Consider the following 18,649-nt stretch of genomic DNA (forward strand, 5'->3'; position numbering starts at 1 on the left):
AGTGCTCAAGATGGGAGAGGCAGAGGGCAAAGTGTATGCTTCAGCAATTGCAATTGCGAGGATGGATACGGTGAGAGGTAGAGGTGGGTGGGTGGTGATGACACTGCTGAGGAAAAAAGCTTACGACTAACTCCCAGGACTTTGGGAGGCCGAGGCAGGCAGATAATGAGGTCAGGAGATCAAGACCATCCTGGCTAACATGGTGAAACCCAGTCTCTAATAAAACAACAACAACAACAAAAATTAGCCAGGCGTGGTGGCACACACCTGTAAATCCCAGCTACTTGGGAGGCTGAGGCAGGAGAATCGCTTGAACCTGGGTGGGGGACGGAGGCTGCAGTGAGCCGAGATCGTGCCACTTCACTCCAGCCTAGGTGAAAGAGTAAAACTCGGTCTCAAAAACAACAACAACCACCACCACCACCAGCACTAAGCGCACAGGAGGAGGAAAACCTGGATTCATTATCCAACAAAGAGGCTGAAGCAGAAAAAAGATGTGGTACTTGGCCTAAAAGAGTGGTGGCAAGAAAACCAGAAAGAACACATGTGGCACACTCTGAAGATCAATTCTACAGACCTTGGCCTACCAGCAACAAAAATGGTGATGTTAATTTTAAAAAGAAATTCATAATGAGAATATGGTTGTGGAACGAGTTCAGCATTCATTTGTTCAACATTTACCAAATACCTACTGTATACTGGGCACTGTCTTTGCGTGTGTGTGTGTGTGTGTGTGTGTGTGTGTGTGTGACGGAGTTTCGCTCTTGTCGCCCAGGCTGGAGTGCAATGGCACGATCTTGGCTCACTGCAACCTCTGCCTCCTGGGTTCAAAAATTCTCCTGCCTCACCCTCCCAAGTAGCTGGGATTATAGGCATGTGCCACCATACCCAGCTAATTTTTTGTATTTTTAGTAGAGAAGGGATTTCTCCATGTTGGTCAGGGATTTCTCCATGTTGGTCTTGAACTCCCGACCTCAGGTGATCCACCCGCCTTGGCCTCCCAAAGTGCTGAGGTTACAGGCATGAGCCACCATGCTGGGCACTGTCTTAAGTTACAGGGATACCAGGAGTCTACACAGACAAAGGTCTTCTTCAGGAAGGTTACATTCTAGGGGGGAAGGAAGGACAGTAAGTTGGCAAAAAAACAAAAACAAAAACATGTAACTCAAGATAGTGATAAATCCTAAGAAGATAAAGCAAGACAGTGGTACATATGGATTAGGCGATGCTGGGTATTTCAGGGTAGGCCCCTAAGATCTAAGACGGTCACAAATGCTTTGTTACTCTCCCCACGGAAAGATGGAGTGTATTTCCCCCTCTCCTGAATCTGGGCTGGCCCTGTGACTACTGAACCAAAATCCTTTGGTTGAAGTGGGGCTATGATGGTTCTAGGCCTAGCCTTCAAGAGGGTCGCCTGCTTCTACTTCACTTTGGAACATGTGATGGTTAAGTGTCAACTTGACTGGACTAAGGAAAACCTAGAGAACTGCAAAGCATTCCTTCTGATGTGTCTGAAGGGGTTTCCAGGGAAGACTGGTTTGTGAGTCAGCTGACTGAGTGTGGAAGATCCACCCTCTGTAGGGGCCAGCACCATTCAGTCAGCTGGGGACCCTAATACAACAAAAAAGAGAAAAGGAATTTCTTTTCTCTCCTGGAGCAGGGACACCCTTCTTCTCCTGTCACTGGACATCAGAACTCCAGGCTCTCCAGGCTTTGGAATCCCAGACTTAAACCAGCAGCCCCTAGGTTCTCAGGCCTTCAGCCTCAGACTGAAAATTACACCATAGGCTTCCCTGGTTTTAAGGCTTTCACACCTGGACTGAGCCAGGCTACTGGCCTTCCAGGATCTCCAGCCTGTAGACAGCCTATCATGGTACTTCTCGGCACCCATAATCATATGAGCTAATTCCCCTAATAAATCCCCTCTCATCCATCCATCCTCCCACCCTCACTGTCTCTCTGGAGAATCCTAAGACAGAACATATGTTTGTGGGAACACGCCCCTCTTGGAAGCCAGCTGCCACCTTGTAAGAAGGCCAAGTCACACGAAGAGGCTGGGTGCAGGGGCACACTGAGCTCCCAGCCTGCAGCCAATATCAATGGCCAGCCATGTGGGTGAGCCATCTTGGTGGTTCCAGTCCAACCTCTGGTGACTGACTTGGTGACCCAGCCAACATCATGTAGAATAAAAGAACTATCCAGCTGAGCCCCATCACACCCCATAAAACCACAACATCACCAGCAGTAATAAAAGTGTTATTTACAGCCATTACACTTGGCCAGGCATGGTGGCTCACACCTGTAATCCCAGCACTTTGGGAGGCTGAGGCAGGCGGATCACAAGGTCAGGAGATCGAGACCATCCCGGCTAACACAGTGAAACCCCGTCTCTACTAAAAATACAAAAAATTAGCCGGGCATGGTGGCACGCGCCTGTAGTCCCAGCTACTCGGGAGGCTGAGGCAGAAGAATCACTTGAACCTGGGAGGCGGAAGTTGCAGTGAGGCGAGATCACACCACTGCACTCCAGCCTGGGTGACACAGCGAGACTCCGTCTCAAAAAAAAAAAAAGCATTACACTTTAGAGTGGTTTGTTACATGCAAGCAGATAACCACAAGAACATTTAAGGAGAAAAATAAGATAATCTTAGGAAGATTTGGAGAACATCCAGAGAGAAGACACAGCAAGTATAGAAGCCCTGAGTGGAGAAGAAGCTGAAGCAGTCAAGGAACAGAAAGGAGGCCAGAACAGCTGGGTCTTGGGAATGAGCTGGGAGGCAGGGAGGCGGGGAGGCGGGGAGGCGGGGAGGGAGTGGTAGACCACAGTAAAGAGTGTGGTTTTTACTCTATGTGTAACAAGAAGCCACTTGAGGCTTTTAAATAGGGGCGTGATAGAATCTGGTTTACATTCTAAAAGACATTACTATGGCTACTATGTAGAGATTAGAATGGAAGATTATCAGGAGGTTAGGAAGATCTGTAGTCATCCACTTCAGAGATGAAGGTGACATGAGCTAAAGACAGCAGCAAAGGTGATGACAAATGGTCAGACTTTTAAAATCTGTAGGTAGACCCTACTACATCTGGCAAAATGACCAGCTAATAGGTCACTAGGCATATTTCTTCTTCCTTCTGGACAAATGATGACTGTATGTCTCAGCCTCTCTGTGAAGTATGGCCACGTAATAGTTAAGTTCTAGCCAACCCAACGGATAGAAGGGATATGCACCACATCCAAGTCTGGCCCATGAAAACCTCCCAGCTGCCCTCTCCCAACCAGGGAATTCCCAGGACACTGAGCCCTGGAGGAGGGCAGCCAAACTATGCAGGCACCTGGGCCCCTAAATGACCACCTGGAAGGCCACCCACTAAGTGGGAATATAGCTTTTCACTTTCATGTGAGCAAAAATTAATTTCATTTATGGCATATACTGAGATATAGGGGTTTATTTCTTATAACATCTCTTGCTACTCTAATACAGAAATACACTATAGAAATTGCTGAAAATTTGGATGTCGGTAAGGACAAGTGAAGATTTGGGACGATTTCTATGTTTGTGGCCAGGGCAACTGGGAGAAGGGAAAAGACTGAAGAAGACTGCAAGTTCTGAAAGATCAAGAGTTTTGTTTGGATATAGTAAATCTGAAGTGTCCACTGATGTCCAAGTAGAGATTATAAATATGCAGGATGAAGCTAAGGAGAGCAGTGGGACTACATTTGAGAACGATCAGAATGTAGACGGGGTTTAAAAGAGATGATCTGGGTAAGATCACCAGAAGATTTATTATGAGGACAAAAGACTGAGTCCTGGGCAAGCCAACATTCGGGGATCAGAAAGAAGAGGAGGAACCAGCAAGAGATAATTCTAGTGAGTGCTATGAGGCAGGAAGAAAACCAAGAGAGGTTGGAATTTCAGAAGCCAAGTGAAGAAAGGAGAGAGCAGACAAATATGTTGAATGCCGCTAAGAGGTCAGGCGATCAGAGGGCAGCAAACTGACCCCTGGATTTGGTACAGCAGCTTTAACAGAGAAAGCCTACCGGGAATGGTTAAAGGAATCATTCAGGTAAAGGTTTTGGATCAAGGTAACACAGTAACTCTACAGTGGTAACCCCATCTACGGTTTTGCTTTCTGAGGTTTCAGTTACCCACAGTCAACTGCAGTCTGAAAATATTAAATGGAAAATTCCAGAAGTAAACAGTTCCTAAGTTTTCAATTATGCACAGCTCTGGATAGTGTGAGGAACTCTCTTCCTGTCCTGTTCCATCCCACATGGGACGATGTCCACACTGTAGGTGTCACACTCCAGTCACTTAGTATCCATCTGGGTTACGACTGCTGTGGTATCTCAGTGCGTGTGTTCAAGGAATCTATACTTTACTTAATAATGGCCCTAAAGCACAGTAGTAACGATGCTGGCAATTCAGATATGTCAAAGAGAAGCCATAAAGTGCTTCCTTTAAGTGAAAAAGTGAAAGTTCTCAACTTAATAAAGGGCTGGGCGTGGTGGCTCATGCCTGTAATCCCAGCACTTTGGGAGGCCCAGCAGGCGGATCACTTGAGCCCAGGAGTTCAAGACCAGCGTGGCCAACATGGCGAAACCCCGTCTCTACTAAAAATACAAAAAATTAGCCAGGCATGGTTGTAAGCACCTGTAGTCCTGACTACTCAGGAGGCTGAGGCAGGAGAATTGCTTAAACCCGGGAGGCGGAGGTTGTAGTGAGCCAAGATTACACCACTGCACTCTAGCCAGGGCGACAGAGCGAGACTCCATCTCAAAAAATAAATAGGCCAGGCACAGTGGCTCATGCCTATAATCCCAGCACTTTGGGAGGCCGAGGTGGGCGGATCACCCAAGATCGGGAGTTTGAGATCAGCCTGACCAACATGGAGAAATCCCATCTCTACAAAAAAATACAAAATTAGCCGAGCGTGGTGGCACATGCCTGTAATCCCAGCTACTCAGGAGGCTGAGGCAGGAGAATCACTTGAACCCGGGAGGCGGAGGTTGAGGTGAGCCGAGATCACGCCATTGCACTCCAGCTTGGGCAACAACAGTGAAACACCGTCTCAAAATAAATAAATAAATAAATATATGAAAATTAGCCAGGTATGGTGGCACACACTTGTAATGCCAGCTACTTGAATGGCTGAGACAGGAAAATCGCTTGAGCCTGGGAGACAGAGGTTGCAGAGAGCTGAGAGCACACCACCGTACTCCAGCCTGGGTGACAAAGTGAGAATCCAACTCAAAAGAAAAAAAAAAATTAAAGAAAAAAAAGCTCATATGATGAGGTTGCTAAGATCTATGTTAAGAACAAAACTTGTATCCATGAAATTGTACAGGAGGAGAAAGAAATTCATGCTAGTTTTGCTGTCGCACCTCAAGTGAAAAAATTCCAGCCACAGTACATAACTGTTATTATTGTGTATTGTTATAATTTTTCTATTTTATTAGTTATTGCTGTTAATCTCTTACTGTGCCTAACTGATAAATTAAACTTTAGCAGAGGAATAGATGTATAGGAAATAACATAGAATATATACAAGGTTCAGTACTATCTGAAGTTTCAGGCATTTACTAGGATCTTAGAATGTATACTCCAAGGGTAAAGGGGGGACTCTATACTCCCAAAGCACTTCCCCAACTCCTACTCCTGGCCAAGATGGAGTAACAGGGACCAGATTTACCCTCCTGCCTGAACAACCAAAGCTCTGCACAAAATAAATAGAACAATAGTTTCTGGCCGGTTGTGGCGACTCACGCCTGTAATCCCAGCACTTTGGGAAGCCAAGGCAGGAGGAACACTTGAGCCCAGGAGTTCGACACCAGCCTGGGCAACTTAGGGAGATTCCATCTCTACAAAACTTGAAACAAAATTTAGCTGGGTGTGGTGGCATACGTCTATATTTCCAGCTACTTGGAGAGGCTGAGGTGGGAGGATCACTTGAGCCGGGGAGGTTGAAGCTGCACTGAGCCGAGATCACGCCACTGCTCTCCAGCATGGGTGACAGAGCAAGACCCTGACTCAATTAAAAAACAAACAAACAAACAAAAAACACTAAAATCACTGTTATGCTCTGGAGATACTTAGAAATACTGAATAACTGTATACTTTATTGGAAAAAATTAAGAGTTCAACTAAGGAAGAAAGCCATGGAAGAAGCAAATACCAGAGAGGAGAGTGAAGGCTAATCAGGGCAATAGAAGACAAGCCAAAATATGCAATGGGCAAAAACTAAGGAGGGACTTAATTTCAAGAAAGTGGTATCAAGCGTATTCAATACTTCAGAGAAGTGGAGAGGAACAAAGTCTGGAAAAAAGCCATTGGATTGGTTAATTAGTTGGCCATTTATGACCTTTCAGAGAATGACAGTGAGAAGCCTAATTCTCTAAGTGGTTAAGAAGTAGGTGACAAAGGGAGTGTGTAAACTGGAGAGAGGCTCCAAGATGGGAGTGCATGAAATTAAGGTTACGGGAAGGGTTCTTCATAGGCAATGAGGTTATATACTCCATAAATAGAAATGAATGAAGATGGATGAAGACAAAATTTCTAAAGTAAAAAGAGAAACTGACAGATTTCATATTATAATATGATATGAAGTGGACAGAGAAATTAAGAGTAATTTGCATTTCTAACACTGTGAGGAGGTTAGGATGGGGGAAACGGAGATTTGGAGGGGAAAAAAGGTACTACAGGAGGCATTATACAAAGGGAAGTGAATAAAAAGCCTGTCAAGCAGTTGAGATTTTTTTTTCTTTTTTATAGAGACAGGGTCTTGCTATGTTGCCCAGGCTAGTCCCGAACTCCTGAGCTCAAAGGATCCCCCTGCCCGCCGCCTTGTCTTCCCAAAGTGCTGGGATTACAGGTGAGCCACTGTGCCAGCCAGGCAGTTGAGTTTTGACTGTGACATCCACAAAGTCGTACTATTGGCAACTATGTTACTTTCTACAGTAATAACCAGCAGTTCCATAGATTTCTCCAGGGATAGAGATTAGCAATGCAGAAATGATGGAAGACAGGAGGGTAAGACAGAATAGAAGAATCAGCTAGAAATTCAAGCCCTCCTGCCAGATCCCCATGGTCACTGATTGAAGGCTGGAACTCCTTGAGAAATCCTAAAACGAATCTCACACTTCCTCCAAACAAAGCTACATCTAAACCTGCTGAAGAGTTTGTTAAAAAAAAAAAAAAACGATTCTGATTCAGTAAATCTGAGGTAGGTCTGAGATCTCCACTTCTAACAAGCTCCTGGTGATGCCGCAGACCACACTCTTGAGTAGCAAAGTGTTAATCGAAAGTAACCATCCTAGCTAGTTTCGTTTAATGGTGGCACCTATGTCATTCTAGTACTTGTCAGGGGACACTACTCTTTCTCTCTCCCGCAGTCCCTACTATTTTTACCATTTCTCTCCTGTCTCAGGCTTCGGTACTAATAATTTTTAAATTATAATATGTATAATAGTAGCTAAAGGCCGGGCACGGTGGCTCACGCTTGTAATCCCAGCACCTTGGGAGGCCAAGGCGGGCGCATCACCTGAGGTTGGGAGCTCCAGCCCAGCCTGACCACCATGGAGAAACCCTGTCTCTACTAAAAATACAAAAGTAGCAGGGCGTGGTGGCGCATGCCTGTAATCCCAGCTACTCGGGAGGCTGGGGCAGGAGAATTGCTTGAACCCAGAGAGTGCAGGTTGCGGTGAGCCGAGATCGCGCCATTGCACTCCAGCCTGGGCAACAAGAGCAAAACTCCGTCTAAAAAAAAAAAAGTAGCTAATATTTTGTTACTATGTGCTAAGCACTGTTACATTAATTTAATCCTCACAAAACTACTGGAAGTAGTACTCTTATCTTCACTCATCTTCATTTTACAGATCACACAAAGTAACTTGCCTAAGACCACCAAGCTAGTAAGTGGTAGAACCCAGACTGGCTCTACCTAAACTGCCTCTCCAGGGCAAAAGTACTAATGGCTCTCAGGGGCTTCTCTGAGAGGATAGGGTCTTAGAGTGGAGAGGACCTGTTGGAACGACATCTCCACAGAGCGGGAAATAGGGAGAGTAGTTTATAGTAGCTACTAGACTGGAGAACTACCAGGAAACACAGATCGTCGTGCAGACGGCCAGGCAGTGAGTAGAAATGGGCACAAAAGAAAAAGTCTTTGGTTTCAACGAAAGCACATGAGTAATGGGAAAGGCAAGACTAACCTGGATTAGTAGAGTCAAATCCTGTTTTAGACTAGAAGTACCAGGGTATAAGTCGGGAGGCTGCAACTTATTTCGTATGCTTATGCAGTTTCTTGGAACCATGGCTCTCAAACTTGCGAATTTGCATTTTTAACAATTTCCCAGATGACGATAAAGCTAGTCTGGGAAGAACACTTCATAATCACTATTATAAAGAAAACCTGAATTGTTTTTCACCACCCAGTAATAAACCTACAGCTTATGGTGTGTCTAACTTTTTACACTCAAATCAGATTTGGAGCCAGGCGCAATGGCTCACGCTTGTAATCCCAGCACTTTGGGAGGCCAAGATGGGAAGATCCTTTGAGCCCAGGAGTCAGAGACAAGCCTGGACAACACAGGGAGACCCCTTCTCTACAAATAAAATTTACAAATTAGCCGGGCCTGGTGGCGCGCACCTGTGGTCCCATCTACTCAGGTGGCTGAGGCAGGAGAATCGCTGGAACCCGGAAGGCGGAGGTTGCCGTGAGCGGAGATAGCACCACCGCACTCCAGCCTGGGTGACACAGCAAGACTCCGTCTCAAAAAAAAAAAAAAAATCCATTTTGGAGGTTGTTTTGTGTCCGTTTTTGTTGTTGTTGTTAACTGTGTTAATTCACAGATTTGAAGTTTTAGAAAATTAACTACAACTAAATCCGAGCTATTCTGCTGACAGCATTTATTCAAATTATGCTTAAAGTTTTCAGAGATAACCAAAGCCAACAGAATTCAACGTGCGCTCAGGTCTCGCTTTGCCCTCGCTGTGCCTTCTCCGTAGGCCGCTCTCTGGGCCAAGCACCTCCCCGGAACGCGCGCAACCGCGGCGGACAGGCAGCCGCCGGCGCGGGAGCTGAGGTAGGAGCCCGGGGCACCCACAGGCCGCAGCGGACGCACGCAGCTAGCACGGTCCCCGCCCCGGGTCGCGCCTGCGGCCTCCCCAGCGTCTGCGCCGCGAGTCCGCTGGACCCGCCAGGGCGTAACGGCGGGTAACCCGCCCCACCCGCCGCACAACACACCCAACTGCACGGACTCACGTCCGGGATCCCCTGCCTGCCTCTCGAGGAAGACACCTGCCCAGGCCGGCCGCAGAAGAGGTCGCACAGCTTGCCGCCGCCCAGGGTTTCAGCGTGCTTCCTGGGCCTCGTCATCGAATTGTTCGGCTGACGGCTGCGTGTCCCTCCCCCGTTGCGGGCCGCTGATTGGCCTCGTTGATTGGGCGGGGCTAGTAGCGGGACCGGCCTCTGCGCGCGGGTTATTTTCGCCGCGGATTTTCTTTTACTTTTCATCTGCGGAACTCTTTCTGCGAAGGAAATCTCGCCTGGAACTCAAATATATACAACGGATAGGAAACCTATTTTCTTACTATTAATATATTTGATAAGTTTGAATGTGTAACATTCGCCATGAAACGCAAGCATGATTTTTTTTTTTTTGAGGCAGAGTCTCACAGTGTTGCCCAGGCTGGAGTGCAGTGGCGCGATCTCGGCTCGGCTCACTGCAACCTCTGCCTCCCGGGTTCAAGCAATTCTCCTCTCTCAGCCTCCCGAGCAGCTGGGACTACAAGCGCGCACCACCACATCCAGCTAATGTGTATTTTTAGCAGAGACAGGGTTTCACCATGTTGGCTAGGCTGGTCTCGAACTCCTGACCTCAGGTGATCCGCCCGCCTCGGCCTCCCAAAATGCTGGGATTACAGGTGTAAGCCACCGCGCCTAGCCACAAGCATAATTTTTTAAAGGGAGGATCACGAATGACAACTGTAGTTCTACTCAGGGCAGGACAAGGGAAAGGTCTGCACACTGTAGGGCAGTTGGAAGTAGTTTTGTTTTTGTCTTTAACTGCTGGCCTTGCAATCTCGGGAAACTGTGAAGATGGTAAAATTTACTATCTTAACCATTTTTAAAGGTACAATTCAGTGGTATTAGATACATTCACATTGTTATGCAACCATTACCACCATCCATCTCCAGCACTCATCTTGCAAAACTGAAACTCTGTACCCAGTAAGTGGTAACGCCTCATTCTTCCCCTCCCTCCTTCCCAGCGACTACCATTCTTTCTGTCTTTATGAATTTGACTACTCTAGGTATTTCATATAAGGACTCATACAGCATTTGTCTTTTTGTAACTGATTTCACTTACCATAATGTCCTCAAGGTTCATCCATGTGGTAACGTGTCAGAATTTCTTTTAAGGCTGAATAGTATTCCATTTTATGTATATACCAGTTCATTCAGTCATCTGTTAATGGATAACAGGTTGTTTCCACTTTTGGCTACTGTGAAATAATACTGTAAACATGGATATACAAATATCTGTTTTTTAACCCTTTTGGGTATACACACAGATGTTCAAATATCTGTTGCTTTCAACTCCTGAATATATATACACAAGTGGAATTGCTGGATTATGTAGTAATTCTATTTTTAATTTTTTGAGGATCTGCCGTACTTTTTTTTTTTTTGAGATGGAGTTTCACTCTTGTTGCCCAGGCTGGAGTGCAGTGGTACGATCTCGGCTCACCACAACCTCTGCCTCCCGGGTTCAAGCGATTCTCCTGCCTCAGCCTCTTGAGTAGCTGTGACTACAGGCGTTTGCCACCATGCCTGGCTAATTTTTGTATTTTTAGTAGAGATGGGGTTTCACTATGTTGACCAGGCTGGTCTCGAACTCCTGACCTCGTTATCCACCCACCTCGACCTGCCAAAGTGCTGGGATTACACGCATGAGCCACTGCGCCCGGCGGAACTGCCATTCTCTTTTCCATAGTGGCTGCAACATTTTACATTCCCTCCAAGAGTGCACAAGTTCCAATTTCCCCACATCTCCACTGACATCTTTTTATTTTTGTATAGTAGCCATCTTAATAGGTGTGAGGTATCTCACTGTGGTCTTGATTTGCCTTTCGCTAATGACCAGTGATGTTGAGCATCTTTTCTTGTGCTTATTGGTCATGCCATTTGTATATGTTTGTTGGAGAAATGTCTATTCAAGTCCTTTACCCATTTGTTTTGTTTGTTTTATTTTGTTTTGTTAAGAGACAGGGTCTCGCTTTGTCACCCAGGCTGAAGTGCAGTGTCATGATCATGGCCCACTGCAGCCTTGAACTCCTGGCTTTGCCCATTTTTTAATGGGTTTTTGTTGTGTTTTGGTTCCTTATATATTCTGGATATTAACCACCTTATCAGATAGGATTTGCAAATATCTTCTCCCACTTTTTCTTTTCTTTTTTTTTTTAGAGACAGGGTCTCCCTGTATTGCCCAGGCTGGTGTCAAACTCCTGGGTTCAAGTGATCCTCCTGCCACAGCCTTCCAAAGTGTTGGGATTACAGGCATGAGCCACCATGCCCGGCCCCATCTTCTCCCTCTTAGTGGGTTGCCTTTTCACTCTGTTGTGTCCTTTGGCTTCTTACTATAAAACGAAAATAAAATTCTAAGCCCCCCAACCAACTGAATAGGCCCATCCTCTCAGCCAAGGGCATTCTAAAGTAAACCTGAGGCCAGTTGCAGTGGCTCATGCCTGTAATCTCAGCCCTTTGGGATGCCAAGGCAGGTGAATCACTTAAGGGCAGGAGTTCAAGACCAGCCTGGCCAACATGGTGAAACCCTGTCTCTAGTAAAATCACAAAAATTAGGCAGGCAAAGCGGTGGGCCCGTAATGCCAGCTACTTGGGAGGCTGAGGCAGGAGAATCGCTTGAACCTGGAAGGTGGGTGTTGCAGTGAGCTGAGATCATGCCATTGCACTCCAGCCTGGGTGACAAAGCGAGACTCTGTCTCAGGAAAAAAAAAAAAAACAGAGACCTTAACACTGACACACTTTGTAGCAGTAAGATACCAATGTGACAGCAGGTCCATCCCCCCACCCCCACCTCTGAGTTGTCCCATCTTTCTGAACTGAACCAATGTATATTTAACATGTATTGATTGATGTCTTACGCTCCCTAAAATGTATATAAAACCATGCTGTAGCCCAAACACCTTGGGCACATCTTCTCAGGATCTCCTGAGGCTATGTCATGGGCCATGGTCACTTAAATTTGGCTCAGAATAAATCTCTTCAAATATTTTACAGAGTTTGACTCCGTCGACATTACAATTTTGGAAAAGTAAACATTTTAAAAATAAAATTTGGGGGCAGATGTGGTGTCTCATGCCTGTAATGCTAGCATTTTGGGTGACCAAGATGGGAGGACTGTTAAGAGGCCAGGAGTTTGAGACCAGCCTAGGCAACATAGTGAGACACCCATCTCTATAAAAAAAATTAGCCCCACATTGTGGCATGTGCCTGTAGTCCTAGCTACTCGGGAGGCTGAGTGAGGCAGGAGGATCATTTGAGCACAGGAGTTCTAGGCTATAGTGAGCAAGACTTTGTCAATATAACACAATGCAATAGAAAAATTAAACATTTTAAAAATAGAAATAATCTCTCAACTTGAGGCAACACACACACACACACACACACACACACACACACACACACACACATAAAATTGGAACAGACCTCTAAATGTCCTCCCTGGGAATAATTAAGAACCTCTGCACTACCCATCCACCCCAATTCCCCTTCCTTGCACTGCCAAATGAGATGGACCCCAAGAGTATAGATACTTCAGTCCTCTCATTTTCTCTTTTATGTGAACCTCAAAGAACCTAGTCACCCCATGCAGAAGACATGTGGAGACAAACAAAAAAGGACATATGTAACCAGCTATTTACTGAAGCAAATATAACAATTTCTGGTGCTTATTATTTTGAGAGGGAGTCTTGCTCTGTCGCCCAGGCTGGAGTGCAGTGGCACAATCTTGACTCACTGCAACCTCCACCTCCCGCATTCAAGCGATTCTCCTGCCTCAGCCTCTCGAGTAGCTGAGATTACAGGCACATGCCACCACAGCCGGCTGATCTTTTTTTTTTTTTTTTTTTTAAGACAGGGTTGCACCATTGTTGACTAAAAGAGTCAAACTCTGTAAAATATTTGAAGAGATTTATTCTGAGCCAAATATGAGTGACCATGGCCCGTGATACAGCCCTCGGGGTCCTGAGAACATGTGCCCAAGGTGGTCAGGGTACAGATTAGTTTTACATATTTTAGGGAGGCATGAGACATCAATCAAATACATTTAACAAATACATTGGTTTGGCTTAGAAAGCCGGGACAACTCAAAGCAGGGGCTTCCAGGCTATAGGTAAATTTAAACATTTTCTGGTTGACAATTGGTTGAGTTTGTCTGAAGACCTGGGATCAAAGGGAATGTTCAGGTTTAGATAGAAGATTGTGGAGACGGAGTTTTATTGGGCAGAGGAAGCGCTCAGATAAAAGACTTCAGAGAGAGCAGGTTGTAAAATGTTTCTTACAGGAATTAAAAAGGTGCCTGCTTCTTAGTTGATTATCTCCTGGATCTGGAAAGAAAGGAAGGAAAACAAAGGGAAAAGGGATTCTCTATAGGATGTGCATTTTTCCCACAAAAGACTTTGCAGGGCAATTTCAAGGTATGGCAAGGAAATGTATTTTGGGGTAAAACATTTTGATTTTCTTGTTATGCCAGAGTCAGATTGGAAAGTAAGTCACGATATACATGATTAAATAAAACCCATCTGATGAGAAGTCATGGTTTGTAAGGCATAACTCCCCAGTCCCCTTAGATAGGAAGATTAAAAAAAAAAAAAAAAATCAGAGCTTAGTCCTCACCATGTTGGCCAGGCTGGTCTCGAACTCCTGACCTCAAGTGATCCACCCCCTCAGCCTCCCAAAGTCCTGGGATTACAGGCGTGAGCCACCACACCCAGCCTTGATGCTTACTATCTAATGTACTGCAGTAAAAGAAATGAATTCCATACCTCATGTCCAGGAGAATCTCTTCTCCCTGACAGTGATGAAGGTGGAATACACAATTTTATGAATATTTTTAACCATGAACTTGAACTGGTCTCTAAGAAATAGCTTATTTTCCTAGTTTTAAACTTAACACAACTTATCTAATATCTAAAATGTGTGAAATTCAACATGAAAGTAAACTAAAGAAGAGACTGGGCCGGGCATGGTGGCTCATGCCTGTATTCCCAGCACTTTGGGAGGCCGAGGCGGGCGGATCACCTGAGGTCAGGAGTTCGAGACCAGCCTGGCCAACATGGTGAAACTCTGTCTCTACTGAAAATAAAAAAATTAGCCAGGAGTGGTGGCCGGCACCTGTAATCCCAGCTACTCGGGAGGTTGAGGCAGGATAACCGCTTGAACCTGGGAGGTGGAGGTTGCAGTGAGCCAAGGTCATGCCATTGCACTCCAGCCTGGGGACAAGAGCCAGAGACTTCATCTGAAAAAAAAAAAAAAAAGAGAGAGACTGTGGCATGCTTTTAGCAGAATTCCCTTCTGCATGCCTGAAAGGTAGAAAATTTGTGTACCTATCGAATACCCACAAGCTAGCTGTATTTTATTTCTTCCTAAGTTGAAATTGCAAAATTATAACTGAGACAGTGAAAGAGATCTGACCTCACCAACTCCATCTTGCTTCCAACCAGTCCTTGTTCATTCCTGGGAGTGGGCCAAACTAACTTTGGGAGGAACTTAATTTATAGTTTATAGTTTGAAACAAAAATAACAGCTCTGGCCAGGCACGGTGGCTCACGCCTGTAATTCCAGAATTTTGGGAGGCCAAGGCAGGCAGATCACTTGAGGTCAGGAGTTCAAGACCAGTCTGGCCAACATGGCGAAACCCCATCTCTACTAAAAATACAAAAATTAGCTGGGTGTGGTGGTGCGCACCTGTAATCCCAGCTACTTGGGAGGCTGAGGCGGGAGAATTGCTGGAGGTGGAGGTTGCAGTGAGCCTGAGATCGCACCACTACACTCCAGTCTGGGCGACAGAGCGAGACTCTTGTCTCAAAAAAAAGAAAAAAAGTAATAGCTCTTTCCCAAAACAAACCCCCTTCTTGCCTGGGGACTAGATTGCCTCCTTTGTAGGACTAACAAATTAGCCACAAGATTAGAAATTACAGTTTAGGAGTCATAGAGCTGGAGGCTACAAGATTCTGACCCTCCCCATATTGCTCCTGGGGATAACATCATTATTGTAAAACCTAAGATCAGAGATTGAGATATTTCCCAGACCCTGCACTTGATGGATCAGCTGACATCTGCCATATCAGTAAACTGGCTCATCTTGTGGCCCCCACCCAGGAACTGACTCAAGACAGATTTGACTCCCTATGATTTCATCTCCAACCCAACCCATCAGCACTCCCAATTTACTAGGAGTGAACCCCACCCACCAAATTATCCTTAAAAACTCTGATCCTGGAATGCTCAGGGAGAGTGATTTGAGTGATAAAACTCCAGTCTTCTGCACAGCTGGCTCTGCATGAATAACTCTTTCTCTATTGCAATTCCCTTGTCTTGAATAAATTGGCTCTATCTAGGCAGAGGGCATGGTGAACCTGTTGGGTGATTACCTAATTCGACATATTCATACTCTTGAGTTCAAATTTATACATATTGTTAGGCTTTTATTAGTCAACTTTCACAACATATTAAGGATAGAAAGTTCTCTAAATCTTGGATAAAAGAGACAGAAGACACACAAAAGTTATACAGGCCAGGCACAATGGCTCACGCCCATAATCCCAACACTTCAGGAGGTTGACTCAGGAGAATCACTTGAGGCCAAGAGTTCAAGACCAACCTGGACAAAGCAAGACCCCATTTTTAGAAAAATTATTTTTTTGTTAATAAGTTATACAGTTGCCAAGGATTAAAAAGCAAATTAGTAGAAGAACTTTAGAAAGAAATCTAAGAAACTGATTATGGACTTCATCCACTGGACCTCACTTTCTCCCAGTAAACTGAAAAAATAACATTATTTTGAAAGCCAAAGACTGAGGAACAGAAACAGTTTTAAATGTCAAGAGGTCTTTATTGAAATAATAGCACAGTTACACTTCTAATACCCTTTCCACTTGTATACAACAGATGAAAAATGCTTGCTACATACAGTGCACAGACAGTTCAATAATGAGAACTAATACAACTGCATTTGAAATAAATAAAATAGCCTATTTAAATAATTTAAAGTAAAATTACTGTACAATATGAAAATAAAGATACATAAATGTTAGAATCTACAAAGCTGTAGAAATAAAATCATTATTCTGCATTACACAAAACAGTGCAAGAAAAAAATCCAAATAAGCTTTTGGAGTGCAAAGTTTAAATCTTCCATTTTAAATTATCATGCAGACATAGCATTTCAAGCCATGCTATGGTCTATGTCAAGGATTTTAATTTTTAAGGAGAAAAATGCCAGTAAATTTACTGTACCATCAAGTGTTGCATCACATAACTGCTGCTGCTCTGCTTCTACAGTTCAGTTTGGAAGGGAGGTATCCTGTTGCATTCAAAAAACTGAAGTTAACAAGTTTCTGAAGCAAACACATTTACCTTTTAGCCTGAAACAAAATTATATGACAAAATAATCATATCCCTGGGTTTAAGAAAAAAGGGCCTATACCATGTAGTAAACTAAGAAGCAGTTTTTCATTCATCTTTAAACTCCACAATGATCCTTAAGTGAAAGCAACCATGTAACTTTTGAGTGACATATATTATGGAATTCTGACCTCTAGAAGACAAGTGATAATACAATATGGGATCGTGAGAAGAGCAAAAGTAATTCTGAACACCTGGGAAGTTTAATCTGGGAGGAACTTGGTTGCATTACATTTAATAATATAGTTGAAGTATAATTCCATTTCAATGTGCATATAAAACTGTTATTTAGGCAAAGACCAAGGAATGCATTGAATACTAAACCGTAAACACATTGTCCATCCTGACTTGGAGTGCACACCAACAACTGAAGAGCTCTTCTGCAGACTTTGGCAACGAGACTACATATAGCAGGTCACAGCAGCACGAGCTCACATGGAAGACTGAAAGCACTGCGGAATAACACCACCCAACACCTCCTATCAGTGGGATACATGGTAATAAGGGGCCTCTTCGTGCTAAACCACTTTCCTGGACACTATGTTCTTCAGATTTGTAATTTTCACAACTCAGTAGTCTTAAGTCTCTGTGCTTTTGCTGCATAGACTGACATGCGGTGTGCTCTACCCATTGTAAGTCCAGAGGGTGACAGTTCTATCTGCAGAGGATGACAGGAAGGAAAGATCCTGGGTGTGCCATCTGCACTGAATCACTTTGTCCTTGTGCTCCCCCACCACCATGATAGGAAGCTGCTTGGTGAGGTCCCCTAAATTACAAAAGAGATGTTGATTTACAATGCAAAATAAGTATATGTATAGATTGTATAGACTTCCTGTTACTTTAAGACATTACAGTATAAAAAATCTTAAACTACATTAATATAATACATTGAAAGGTTTATACAGGGATAAATTACTACCTACCTAATTATGCTATTAGTATTTGCTAACATATACCCATACAGCAACATTTGACAAGTTGCCTCTCTCTCTCTCTCGGAAATTCTCTCAACTTGATTTCTCCCTGATTTCAGTGCCACTTCATCTTTTGCTAGTTTCCCTTTTCTTCTTGACGTAAAGCTTGGTGAATCCCAGGAGTCAACCCTCAGATTTCTTCTGTTCTCTCTGTACCTAACTTCCTAAAAAATTTCATCTAGCAACATGGCCATTTATATATTTACAATTCATACATATTTTATCTCCAATCTTGGTTCTCATCTGAGCTCCAGACTAGTATCCAAATAGTCATTCAATATCTCACTTGTCTGATAGTCATCCTAATTTAAACTTGTCTAAAACCAAACTCTTGGTTTTCTTGCCTAAACCTGTTCCTCCCCTTACCTGCCTCCCTTATCTCAATGGCACCATCTGGTTGCTCATGACAAAAACCTAGGAATCGTCATTGATTCCTTTTCCCCTCACTCCTCAAAGCTGATCCAAACAAAATATATCTCAAATTTAGTCATTTCTTACTACCTCCACCTCCACCACCCTAGTCCAAGCCACCATCATCTCACCTGAACTATTCCAACAGCCTCCTCACTGACATTTATATTTCTACTCTTGCCCCCTTACAATCTACTCTCCCTACAGAACCCCAAATTCTCCAAAAATATAATTCAGCTCCTATCCCTTCCAGTTAAAATCTTCCAAAGGCTTCACATTATACTTTTTAAAATGCTTATAGCCCACCAACTATAATAAATGTACCACTGTGGAAGGGGATACTGATAATGGGGGAGGCAGGCTATGCATGTGTGAGTCAGGAGTATATGGGAAATCTCCGTATCTCTCAATTTTGCTGTTAACCTATAACTGCTATTAAAAATAAAGCCCTTAAAAAAAATGTCTATAGGCCGGGCGCGGTGGCTCACGCCTGTAATCCCAGCACTTTGGGAGGCCAAGGCAGGCAGATCACGAGGTCAGGAGATCAAGACCATCAAGAT

General features: G+C 44.3%; 2 protein-coding genes across 32 annotated transcripts in view, besides 7 other annotated features; both read right to left on the reverse strand.

Annotated features, from left to right (window-relative positions):
- The window catches only part of CLCC1 (chloride channel CLIC like 1), a 33,980-nt gene extending 24,598 nt beyond the window's left edge, over nt 1-9,382 (reverse strand). For 6 of the 17 annotated variants that reach the window (NM_001048210.3, NM_001377469.1, NM_015127.5 and 3 more), the window contains exon 1: nt 9,259-9,382. The gene's annotated coding sequence lies outside the window, so the exon portion shown is untranslated. Of the gene's footprint in view, nt 1-8,206; nt 8,368-9,258 lie in introns of all 17 variants that reach the window. The other 11 variants (NR_165299.1, NM_001278202.2, NM_001377458.1 and 8 more) reach the window with 6 other exon arrangements.
- Nucleotides 4,171-4,672: an enhancer, noted in NCBI's record as "H3K4me1 hESC enhancer chr1:109500895-109501396 (GRCh37/hg19 assembly coordinates)". NCBI's record gives its function as "activates a minimal SCP1, AML or CMV promoter by ChIP-STARR-seq in naive H9 embryonic stem cells {active_cell/tissue: H9 hESC(naive)}" and the evidence as "EXISTENCE:reporter gene assay evidence [ECO:0000049][PMID:30033119]".
- Nucleotides 7,084-7,584: an enhancer, noted in NCBI's record as "H3K4me1 hESC enhancer chr1:109503808-109504308 (GRCh37/hg19 assembly coordinates)". NCBI's record gives its function as "activates a minimal SCP1, AML or CMV promoter by ChIP-STARR-seq in naive H9 embryonic stem cells {active_cell/tissue: H9 hESC(naive)}" and the evidence as "EXISTENCE:reporter gene assay evidence [ECO:0000049][PMID:30033119]".
- Nucleotides 7,585-8,085: an enhancer, noted in NCBI's record as "H3K4me1 hESC enhancer chr1:109504309-109504809 (GRCh37/hg19 assembly coordinates)". NCBI's record gives its function as "activates a minimal SCP1, AML or CMV promoter by ChIP-STARR-seq in naive H9 embryonic stem cells {active_cell/tissue: H9 hESC(naive)}" and the evidence as "EXISTENCE:reporter gene assay evidence [ECO:0000049][PMID:30033119]".
- Nucleotides 8,458-8,577: an enhancer, noted in NCBI's record as "active region_1432". NCBI's record gives its function as "activates an Ori minimal core promoter by ATAC-STARR-seq in GM12878 lymphoblastoid cells {active_cell/tissue: GM12878}" and the evidence as "EXISTENCE:reporter gene assay evidence [ECO:0000049][PMID:35858748]".
- Nucleotides 8,458-8,799: a biological region, named in NCBI's record as "Sharpr-MPRA regulatory region 7966".
- Nucleotides 8,505-8,799: a silencer, noted in NCBI's record as "tiled region #7966; HepG2 Repressive non-DNase unmatched - State 1:Tss, and K562 Repressive DNase unmatched - State 1:Tss". NCBI's record gives its function as "represses a minimal TATA promoter and a strong SV40 promoter by Sharpr-MPRA in HepG2 and K562 cells {active_cell/tissue: HepG2 | K562}" and the evidence as "EXISTENCE:reporter gene assay evidence [ECO:0000049][PMID:27701403]".
- Nucleotides 8,938-9,177: a silencer, noted in NCBI's record as "silent region_1140". NCBI's record gives its function as "represses an Ori minimal core promoter by ATAC-STARR-seq in GM12878 lymphoblastoid cells {active_cell/tissue: GM12878}" and the evidence as "EXISTENCE:reporter gene assay evidence [ECO:0000049][PMID:35858748]".
- Nucleotides 9,383-16,111: 6,729 nt separating the features above from the next.
- WDR47 (WD repeat domain 47) overlaps nt 16,112-18,649 on the reverse strand; it is a 71,889-nt gene continuing 69,351 nt past the window's right edge. For all 15 annotated transcript variants that reach the window (NM_001142551.2, XM_011541028.4, NM_014969.6 and 12 more), the window contains one exon: nt 16,112-17,470. In NM_001142551.2, the coding sequence (NP_001136023.1) occupies nt 17,328-17,470 (143 nt within the window). In that variant the 3' untranslated portion in view covers nt 16,112-17,327. The remainder of the gene's footprint in view (nt 17,471-18,649) is intronic.

Source organism: Homo sapiens, chromosome 1 (genome assembly GCF_000001405.40).
Source record: "Homo sapiens chromosome 1, GRCh38.p14 Primary Assembly".
Lineage (NCBI taxonomy): Eukaryota > Metazoa > Chordata > Mammalia > Primates > Hominidae > Homo > Homo sapiens.